This window comes from Homo sapiens, chromosome 7 (assembly GCF_000001405.40).
Source record: "Homo sapiens chromosome 7, GRCh38.p14 Primary Assembly".
Classification (NCBI taxonomy): domain Eukaryota; kingdom Metazoa; phylum Chordata; class Mammalia; order Primates; family Hominidae; genus Homo; species Homo sapiens.
The window spans coordinates 102,157,170-102,167,787 of NC_000007.14; the positions used below are offsets into that span (position 1 = coordinate 102,157,170).

Below are 10,618 nucleotides of genomic sequence, written 5' to 3' on the forward strand. Positions count from 1 at the left end.
TGGCATGGAAGGGCCTTGCGTGTGGCTGAGGGAGGGATTGCATCCTGAAGGCAGCAGAGTGCAGGTGCATGTGGACTCAGAGCCACAGCATGAGAGCCCTCAACCCCAACCAGGTCCCTGTGGCTGTAACATTGGCTCCATGGCCCTTGGGTATGCTAAAAAAAAAAACCTTCCTTGGGTCACAGACAGTTCCAGCCTGTGGCCTTCTAACAGAGACCATCCTCAGGACCTGCTTGCAGACATTGGGGTGGTGGTCTGCCCGGGTGTGCTGCTCTAACCTCCCATAGGCTTTTGGAGTTGGCCGTGCCCTTCTCAAAAGGACTCTCCAGGCCGGGCGCGGTGGCTTATGCCTGTAATTCCAGCACTTTGGGAGGCCAAGGTGGGTGGATTACCTGAGGTCAGGAGTTTGAGACCAGCCTGGCCAACATGGCAAAACCTTGTCTGTACTAAAAATACAAAAATTAGCCGGGCGTGGTGGTGCACGCCTGTAGTCTCAGCTACTCGGGAGGCTGAGGCAGGAGAATTGCTTGAACCCAGGAGGCGGAGGTTGCAGTGAGCCGAGATCTCATCATTGCACTCCAGCCTGGGCGACAGAGCTCTGTCTCAAAACAAACAAACATACAAACATAAAAGCACTCTCCGCATTCCTCTCTCATGATGCTCTGTGTTGGGTTCGCGTATTTGCCTTCAGATTACTCAAGGAAGTACTTTCAAAACAGAAAAAGGGAAAGACAGAACCTGGACAATTGCTTTTACGACCAGGCTGGGCCATAGCAATGAACCCAGGCTGTCTGCACTGCAGCCTGTACAGTCCCCCAACCTGTGTCACCATCCTCACCTGCCCTCCTCACCTCCAGTTGGCCACCTTCTCCTGGTTTCCTCATTCCTGGTGAGGCTTTCACTGCCAAGTGCCTTTTCCTAAAGTAGCCTTTCCCCAGCTCCTCCTCTCACCCCCAGCCTGGCAAACTTCTACTCATCCTTCAAAACCCCACTTACCTGTCACCTCCTCTGCAGCCTTCCTTGATTCCCTCCCACAAAGAGAATTTATTTCTCCCTCTTTTTTTCAGAGCACTCTGCTCAGAGCTCTTTTTGAACCCTTGGCAGGACATGCTGTATTTTATATTTTTATGGTTATGTCTCCCCAATGAGATTGGGACCCCATCAAAGGCAGGCACCCCATACGCACCAGACACATGATTATCAAAAGAGCGCATGGCATCAGCAAGCACATCTCTTCCCCCAGTGTGAGCCCACCTCCTCCTGCTGGACAGCATTGACTCACGGGTCTGCACAGCCCTTCCCGAGCCCTGAGCTAGGAAGCTGTCCCATCAGTCACCCCCTGAGCCGGTCTCCTTGTGACTAACCTGCTCTCTCCCTCTCACCCTCCTAGGGCCGACGAGATTGAAATGATCATGACGGACCTTGAAAGGGCAAACCAGGTAGGACCCTGGACGCTTTTAGTCCTAAAACCCACAATAGCGGGCCCGTTTCTGGCATCTCGGAAGATGCGTCACCCGAAGTTAGAAGGCCGGTTATCCTTCCATTTTTTACTGACAGCTTTCAACGTCGATGCTCCTTCTGTTGTCATGAGAAGTAGGAAAAGACATAAAAAGTCCTAGGAACCATTTCCTTGGCAAAGTCTTTGATGTGGTTCCAACATCTCAGACATCCCATGGTGAACATCCCCTCCAAAGTGGTAACTGTCTCCTTTTCCCTACTCCATCTCTAAACACCCGTCTTTGTAGCTGTGGCATCCATGACAGTGTAGACATCTCACCATGGAATTATCCTCGGAGAGTTCCTTAGTGTAGACATCTCACCACGGTGTTATCCTAGGAGAGTTCCTTAGTGTAGACATCTCACCACGGTGTTATCCTAGGAGAGTTCCTTAGTGTAGACATCTCACCACGGTGTTATCCTAGGAGAGTTCCTTAGTGTAGACATCTCACCACGGTGTTATCCTAGGAGAGTTCCTTAGTGTAGACATCTCACCACGGTGTTATCCTCGGAGAGTTCCTTAGTGTAGACATCTCACCACGGTGTTATCCTAGGAGAGTTCCTTAGTGTAGACATCTCACCACGGTGTTATCCTAGGAGAGTTCCTTACCGCCACGTTCTCATGGGTCGCAGCCACTTGCTCCAAAGAGGGCTCTCAGCTGACGGCCCCTTTTTGGCTGACACTTGGTGCTCAGAGAGGCCTTATGGCAAGTACCCAGCACAGTGTCCGGCCCAGATCAGGCACAGGACGCATCTTAACCATTAGCGTACTTTTGGGTGATTCTAAATACTCTGCTTCCTGGAAAATTCAGCCATCCCCAAAACCCCTTCCTCCCCCCAGGAGCCCACAGAACAGGAAAACATTTTGCTTTAGCTGGTGCTGCTGTTGCTCTGAAAAGAAAGTGGTCCCCCAGCCGGGCACAGTGGCTCACGCCTGTAATCCCAGCAGTCTGGGGGGCCAAGGTGGGAGGATCACTTGAGGTCAGGAGTTTGAGACCAGCCTGGCCAATATGGTGAATCCCCGTCTCTACTAAAAATACAAAATTTAGCAAGGCGTGGTGGCAGGCGCCTATAATCTCAGCTACTCAGGAGGCTGAGGCAGGAGAATCACTTGAACCCTGGAGGCAGCAGTTGCAGTGAGCCAAGATCTAAGCCTGGGCAACAGAGCAGAAACTCCATCTCAAAAAAATACAAAATAAAATTTAAAAATAAATTTTTACTACCCAGCCTTGGGCTGGGTGTAGTGGCTCACGCCTGTAATCCCAGCACCTGGGGAGGCCGAGATGGGTGGATGACTTGAGGTCAGGAGTTTGAGGCCAGCCTGGCCAACATGGTGAAGCCCCATCTCTGCTAAAAATACAAAAATTAGCCGGGTGCGGTGACATGCACCTGTCATCCCAGCTGTTCAGGAGGCTGAGGCAGGAGAATCACTTGAACCCAGAAGGCAGAGGTTGCAGTGAACCAATCATGCCACCATACTCCAGCTTGGATGACAGAGCGAGAATCTGTCTAAAAAAAAAAAAAAGCAGTTACTGGAAGGAGTTACCTTCATCATAGATCACTATTCCTATTTCTCAAGTTTCCACCGACTCCACCTCTCTCCTCAAGGCCAGTCTTGGGCATGCCTTGCCTTTAGATGGCACTTTAGGGCAATCTAATGTGCCCAACAGGAGAGCCTGGTTTGTTAAACGGGAGAGCCTTATCCTGTGAATATCAGTGCTCTATCCAGAACAGGTTCTCTGTGGTCTCAGAGGCAGTCCCCAGCTACCTAAGAAGTTTGGCAAAGCGAATGCACTTCTCAAGGTGCCAAAGCCACTCGGTGGACCCCAGTCTTAGGAGACACCAGACAAGGCTGTAGGGACAGGTGCTGGCTCCGCAATGACACGGGTTCAGTTCCTAACTCGGTATTTCCTGTGTGGCCTTGACGGGTCTCTTAATCTCTTAAATTTCTTGGTCATAAAAAAATCAAAAGAAAAGTGAACCTTGAGGCCATTATGCCAGGGGAAATACGCCAGTCACAAAAAAAGACAAATACTGAATGATTCCACCTGTATGAAGTATCTAGAGGAGCCAACTTCAGAGAGACAGAAAGTGCCACGGTGACTGCCAGGGACGAGGAGAGGAGGGAAATACGAAGTTGTTGTTAAATGGGTACAGAGTTTTGGTTTTGCAAGATGAAAACATTCTGGGGATTCATTGCACAACCACGTAAACGTCCTTGACGCTACTGAAAAGTACGCTAATGGTTAAGATGGTAAATTTTATGCTTTGCGTAGTTTGCCACGATTTAAAATATGTTAAAAAATTTTTTGAAAGAAAGGAAGGGAATTTAGCTAATGCTTCCTTTGCAAGATTGTTTCGAGGATTTGAGGTAAAATGCCAGAGTAAAAAGTAGATGGTGGCCGGGCGCAGTGGCTCACACCTATAATCCCAACACTTGGGGAGACCGAGGCAGGCGGATCACTTGAGGTCAGGAGTTTGAGACCAGCCTGGGCAATTTAACAAGTCCCCCATCTCCATAAAAAATACAAAAGTTAGCTGGGCGTGGCAGTGTGCCTGTAGTCCCAGCCACTCGGGAGGCTGAGGCAGGAGGATCGCTTGAGTCCAGGAGGTAGAGGTTGCAGTGAGCTATGATTGCACCACTGCACCCCAGCCTAGGTGACAGAGTGAGACCCTATCTCAAAAAAAATAAAAGAAGTAGATGCCTAAATAAATGTTAGTTCCGTAGCTGCTGAAGAAGCTCAGGTTTTGGGGGAATTGTAAAGTCCTGCCTTCAGGAAAGGGTGGTGAGGGGTAGAGGTGAGTTCTCACCAACAACTCAGCCAGAGTTTATAGCCTGATACGGCTACATTAATAGAAATACAGTTTCTAGAATGAAGGAGGTGGTGATTCTGCTCATTGGCAGCAAGGAGTCCGTGCCTAGGAAATTCCATTTTTTAAATTTATTTATTTTTCTTCTTTGAAATGGAATTTTACTCTTGTCATCTAGGCTGGAGTGCAATGGCACGATCTCAGCTCACTGCATCCTCCACCTCATGGGTTCAGGCAATTCTCCTGCCTCAGCCTCCCAAGTAGCTGGGATTATAGGCGCCCACCATGCCCAGCTAATTTTTATAGTTTTAGTAGAGACGGGGTTTCACCGTGTTGGCCAGGCTGGTCTCGAACTCCTGACCTCAGGTGATCTGCCCACCTTGGCCTCCCTAAGTGCTGGGGTTACAGGCAAGAGCCACCGCGCCCAGCCGGAAATTCCATTTTAGACTGGAAGCCACAGTATAAGGAAAACAGCTCCTTGGAGTGCATTCAGAGATGACTCCATGGCCAGGACAGGGAGGGGCTCTAACATAAAAAGAACTAGGGGGTTCGGAGACGTTCCTAATCTTGGGGTAGCAGGGAAAGACGGCAGCACCACTGGACAGCAGGAGCAAGAGGAATAATTTCAGGAATCTGGGACGCGAAAAGATAAGGGGGAAGGGTCATGGGGGCATTTGTGGGTTCTGTCCTTGTAGTTCTCAAGAGCCGACCAGAAAGAAAGGCCAGGGGACGGAGCCAGGCTTTTTCTGAGAGACCCCTGTAGACCCCAGCCAAGCATAGAGGCTGGCGAGAGGAAACTTTTTTGTTTTTGCTTCTGAGACAGTCTTGCTCTGTTGCCCAGGCTGGAGTGCAGTGGCACAATCTCAGCTCACTGCAACCTCCCCGTCCTGGGTTCAAGTGATTCCCCTGCCTCAGCCTCCCAAATAGCTGGGACTATGGGCATATGGCTCCCCATCCTGGGTTCAAGCGATTCTCCTGCCACAGCCTCCCGAGTAGCTGGGACTACGGGCATATGGCTCCCCATCCTGGGTTCAAGCGATTCTCCTGCCTCAGCCTCCCGAGTAGCTGGGACTACAGGCATATGGCACCACGCATGGCTAATTTTCTTATTTTTAGTAGAGATAACTCCTGGGCTCAAGCGATCTGCCCACCTCGGCCTCCCAAAGTGCTGAGATTACAGGCACATGCCACCACACCCAGCTAATTATTGTGTTTTTAGTAGAGACGGGGTTTTGCCATGTTTGCCCAGGCTGCTCTTGAACTCCTGGGCTCAAACGATCCACCCACCTCTGCCTCCCAAAGTTCTGGGGTTACAGGCATCAGCCACCATGCCCAGCCAGGAAGCTTATTCCCAGTGGTCTGGCTCTCCAGAGTTGCCACGCTGAAAGATGCTTGCTCTGGAGAGAGTGAGCTCCCTGTCACCAGAGCTATGCAAGCAGATTCAGGCCAGCCCTCCCAGAGAGCATGAGATGGGGAATCACGCACAGAGTGGACCGAAGGAGGGATTGAACAAGAAGGCTCAAAGGGTCCCTTTTGACCCTGAAGTCTAGGATTTCGTGAAGCTACAGGTGAACCCATTGGCATGAGAAGCATCCAGGGAGGAAAGATGCAAGCCCTTGGAATATCGAGAGAATATTTCCAGCAGGAAAAGAAGTGGAAGGTTAAAGGAAAGCCAGAGAAGGGGACGTTGCCCTGGGCCATCAACTAAGAGAAAAGCTGCCCAGAGCCAGGCATGGTGGCGGCGGTGCCTATAGTACCGGCAGTTGGAGAGGCCGAGGCAGGAGCATCACTTGAGCCCATGAGTTTGAGACCAGCCTGGGCAACATAGTGAGACTTTTTTCTCTACAAAAAAGTTTAAAAAAAAAAAAATAGCCAGGTGTGGTGGTGTGCACCTGTGGTCCCAGCTAACCCAGGAGGCTGAGATGGGAGGATCTCTTGGGCCCGAGAGTTCAAAACCAACACCAGAGATGCGGGTCAGAGAGTGGGCTGGTAGGACGGGACCTGGCCAGGCCTGTGGGAGGGTCTGAGTATGAAGGATTCATCCTGGGAGCAGTGAAGAATCGTAGGCGGGATTGAGACATCAGGTTTGAGTTCTAGAAGGATCTCTCTGGCTATACATTGGAGAACAGATGGGAGTGGAAAGACCAGAAGCCAGGAGAGCTGTGGGAGGCTATTGTGTAAGTATGGGGAGAGATGGCATGGGCCTGAGCTGAGGCCATCCCTGCGGAGGTGAGCTGGAGGCGGGCTGGGCAGGAAGAGGAGGGCGCAGACACAGTCCAACACTGGTGCAGGTGGCAGGCATCTGGACCAACACCTTTCCCATCAGGAAACCCCCCAGGAGGAGCAATTTACTAGCTCACTGGCATACAACATTCGTTTTCCCTGGGTGTGTAGTTAGAATGTTCTACGGAGACCTGAAGTGCTCGTTTATTGCTCAACCACTGTGCTCCTGTTATGGAGAAGTAGCAGAGGGGTCGGCACCTGTCAGTTATGTCCGAGCCTCATTCACACCTGTTTGTTGAACATCAGGGCACTGGCATAAATACTCACTGTCCCAATTGGTGACAGTAAAGGATCAGATCTCTTGAGACTTCATGGTCAATAAGAAGCCACAGCTTTACACTTTGAACTGCATGTGAAACCCCGTCCCGTCCGGGGGCTTTCAGCAATTCACAGCCTTTTTGTGGTGAAAAAAAGTGGCCCGCCCACCACCCCTCCGGGGCCTCCTTTCTGAGCAGTGGTGATCCGAGTTGCTGGTGGGTCTCAAACTCCTGGGCTCAAGCTATCCTCTCGCCTTGGCCTACCAAAGTACTGGGACTACAGGCATGAGCTACTGCGCCCGGCTTTGAAGCCAGCATTTCTTTACTACCTACGAGGCCTGCTCAGAGTCCGTGCTCAAAAAGATGTATTGAATGAATATGGGCTTTGACGCACAGGCTGGAGCGCAGTGGCATGTTCTCCTAGCCCACAGTGGGGCTGGGAGGGAGTCATTGAAGTGAGCTGCCCTCTTCCTGTTCACCTGCCTGGTGTTTATGTCACAAGACTGCCCTAGTGGAGGACTCTCCAGGTTGAGGTTAGGGGTTGGAAACCACAGCTGACCCTCACCACGGAGAGTGGGTCTCCATGGAGGCCTTGGCCACTGGTGCAGCATCAGCGTGGGACACGTGGTGGTCAGCATTTGGTCTCCAGCTGTGGTAGCTGTTCCCGACCTCCTTCCTGCAGAGTCAGTGACATGGAGTTACCTCTGGGAGTCGAGATGTTCACTGTAATTGCATGCTGCGGGTAGGGCAGCAGGGCCTTAGCCCATCATCAGCTCCTGGGTCTACTTTGTTCCTCGGGGGACTTGCTCATCTCTGGTGTCCTCAAGCCTGAGTTTTAATGGCCATGCAAGCAGAGAACAAGAGACAAAACCTGGGGCCAAGAAGGGGGTGGAAGATTGGATCAGAGAAAACCCCCCTCCCCCGCCATATAAAACCAGGGACTTCAAAGGCCACACTCTGAAAGTGTAAACTGGCAGGGTGGGGGAAGGAGTCTGCCCTTAAAGGGGAGACGGTGAGGGTTCTCTCTTGTTGGTTCCAGAGGGAGAAGAAAATGAGCCTCCCAAGAGAATTCCTAACCACAGCCACCTCTCCACAGGTCTGGGGCCATGTCGCACATGAGACCCCCCAGCCCTCTCCCCACACCTTCGCCCCACCAGGCTGCAGCTGGCCCAAGGCCCTGTCTTTATCCTCTGCAAGCCCACCCCTCTCTGTGTCCTTCCCATGATGCCTTACCACGTTTTATGAGTCAAATTGTTCAGACTTTAGAGGCCTGGAAGTAGCTGTCTACATCCTGTATTCACATCCCAATCGGGCACTGCGGTTAGGGGAAAGCTTTTTTTTTTTTTTTTTTTTGAGATGGAGTCTCACCCTGTGACCCAGGCTGGAGTTCAGTGGCGTGATCTTGACTCACTGCACCCTCCCCCTCCCAGATTCAAGCAATTCTCATGCCAATTCTCATGTCTCAGTCTCCCAAGTAGCTGGGACTACAGGTGCACACCCCCACGCCCAGCTAATTTTTGTATTTTTAGTAGAGACAGGATTTCACCATGTTGACCAGGCTGGTCTCAAACCCCTGACCTCAAGTGATCTGCCCACCTCAGCCTCCCAAAGTGCTGGGATTACAGGCGTGAGCCACAGCACCCAGCAAAAGCATTTACTTACCATCCTTCCTGGGGCCTTTCAGGGACCCTTGAGGGATGGGCAGGGGTTGGGGGGCCCGTGGAACTTCTTCTAGGATGAGGTGACCTCGTGGACCCCTGGTTCCGGCTCTCCTTCCCCAAATCACCCAGTGAGGAATATGACACCAGCCCAGGGAGCAGAAAAGCCTCCTTCACCTTCCCCAGAGAAGCGAGGCTCCCCTGGGTCTCACGGTGGAAACCATCTCTGTATTTGCTGGCTTGACTCTAACAGGAAGAATTCCTGAGACACGGTGTCGCTGGCTGCTTGCTACCTCCCAGGTGACTGCTGAGGGGAGGCAGAGTTTAACCTGATGCCAGCTAAGAGTAATTTCCCCCAAAAGGGTCTTCCATTTTGAGATGAGGAGGATGTGAGGTGTGCCTGGGGCCACACATGCCAGGGACCTTCGTGACAATGTCCTGGACACCATCGCCAGGTGATGGGCATCGGCTTGTGTGAGCCCCGTGGCCACCAGTCCCCTTGCCGGGTGGCTGTTTTCTGCCATCGTGGTCTGGGTTACCACTGATATGCAAGCAGTATCCTCCTCGCCCCTGTGTTTCTAGCATCAACTCTGATTTCTCAGCAAATGACAGAGAATAGACAAGAAAGAGCAAGAAAGATCTCCCAGGACAGTGCTCAGGCTTGGCGAGGGGCCGTTCTCATGGTGGGGCAGACACAAAAGTAGAACGAGGGCTCCCAGTGGCCCTGTCTCTGCAGGGACACAGGAGGAGACGGGAGTCCGGCGGTGACCACAGGGAAGTGATGTCTCAGGGCCGCCACCGCTAGATCTGGGGTTCCAGATCTAGAAACACAGCTACAGCTGGTTTAACAGGGGTCTTCAGGAAGACGCCAGAGCCTCAAAACCAGTGTCACCACACGCCGACCCGGGACAGGGCCCCCTTCTTCCTGCCTCAGCTGCCAATGATGGGCTACGCTTACTTCTCAGCTCCTGAAATGAATTTATCCCAGCTCCAGATCAGTGTCTGTTTCCCTGTTCCTTCCTTTCACTGCCATTAGGCCTGTTTTTAGTTTGAATTCTCCTGTTTCGTGGATCTCACCACACAAACCACCTCAACGCTTCATTTTGTGAGTTTTGTATTTTTTTTCGACGCCCTCAGGACAGAAATCCTGAATAACTATGTGATCAGAAAGTTGCGTGAAAGTAACGAAGGCAAGCCACAAGTGATAGAAGTCTGACACCGTGACCGCCAACAGATGGGCCACAGAGAGACTGTCCGTGAACTTGGAAACTGATTGCAAGTGCAAATGCTCCACAGAAATTATGCAATCAGGCCGGGCGCGGTGGCTCACACCTGTAATCCCAGCACTTTGGGAGGCCGAGGCAGGTGGATTACTTGAGGTCAGGAGTTCAAGACCAGCCTGGCCAACATGGTGAAACCCTGTCTCTACTAAAAATACAAAAATTAGCTGGGCGTGATGGCGGGCATCTGTAATCCCAGCTACTCAGGAGGCTGAGGTGGGAGAATCACTTCATCCTGGGAGGTGGAGGTTGCAGTGAGCCAAAATCATACCGCTGCACTCCAGCCTGGGCAACAGGGTGAGACTCTGTATCAAAAAAAAAAAAAGAAAAGAAAAGAAAAAGAAAGAAATTATGCAATCAGAAATTGAAATCATCAACAGCTAGATCCCTTCTTTTGTGAACCATCACCCTGTGATGAGATGGTATCCGCTCTGAACGGCTAAATGCCTGCTTGAGACCATGTAGGCTCCCGGGGACACCTTGTAACCAGATGCCCGGGACTTCCCCAGCGCTGGCCGTTCCAGAACACTTCAGAGCCAGTGTTACAAGTCAGGGTGGTGAGGCCACCTCCTTGGCTGCCACCAGAACAGCTTCTCCACTAGGCTAAGAAATAGGTTTTCTAGCCCAAGAGACCAGGAGAAATATCTCCAAATACATCTTATTCCAGGCAGAGTCTTAGATATTTTCTGCCCAAGAGTTGAACTGACCAGCAAGGGAGGCGTAAGCTCTTCAGTGATTTGACGTGATCATCAGAAACACTTGGCATGACACATCTGGAAATAAACTGGGAAAAATCTTTTTTGTTGAAGAGGACATTTTTCTGTAGTCTTAA

The 10,618-nt window shown here is 51.4% G+C and overlaps 1 protein-coding gene across 25 annotated transcripts in view, besides 2 other annotated features; it reads left to right on the plus strand.

Annotated features, from left to right (window-relative positions):
• The window catches only part of CUX1 (cut like homeobox 1), a 467,952-nt gene that overhangs the window by 341,163 nt on the left and 116,171 nt on the right, over window positions 1–10,618 (plus strand). For all 25 annotated transcript variants that reach the window (NM_001913.5, NM_181500.4, NM_001202545.3 and 22 more), the window contains one exon: window positions 1,391–1,439. In NM_001913.5, coding sequence (NP_001904.2) covers window positions 1,391–1,439 — 49 coding nt within the window. The remainder of the gene's footprint in view (window positions 1–1,390; window positions 1,440–10,618) is intronic.
• Window positions 5,916–6,811: an enhancer, noted in NCBI's record as "H3K4me1 hESC enhancer chr7:101806365-101807260 (GRCh37/hg19 assembly coordinates)". NCBI's record gives its function as "activates a minimal SCP1, AML or CMV promoter by ChIP-STARR-seq in naive H9 embryonic stem cells {active_cell/tissue: H9 hESC(naive)}" and the evidence as "EXISTENCE:reporter gene assay evidence [ECO:0000049][PMID:30033119]".
• Window positions 6,812–7,705: an enhancer, noted in NCBI's record as "H3K4me1 hESC enhancer chr7:101807261-101808154 (GRCh37/hg19 assembly coordinates)". NCBI's record gives its function as "activates a minimal SCP1, AML or CMV promoter by ChIP-STARR-seq in naive H9 embryonic stem cells {active_cell/tissue: H9 hESC(naive)}" and the evidence as "EXISTENCE:reporter gene assay evidence [ECO:0000049][PMID:30033119]".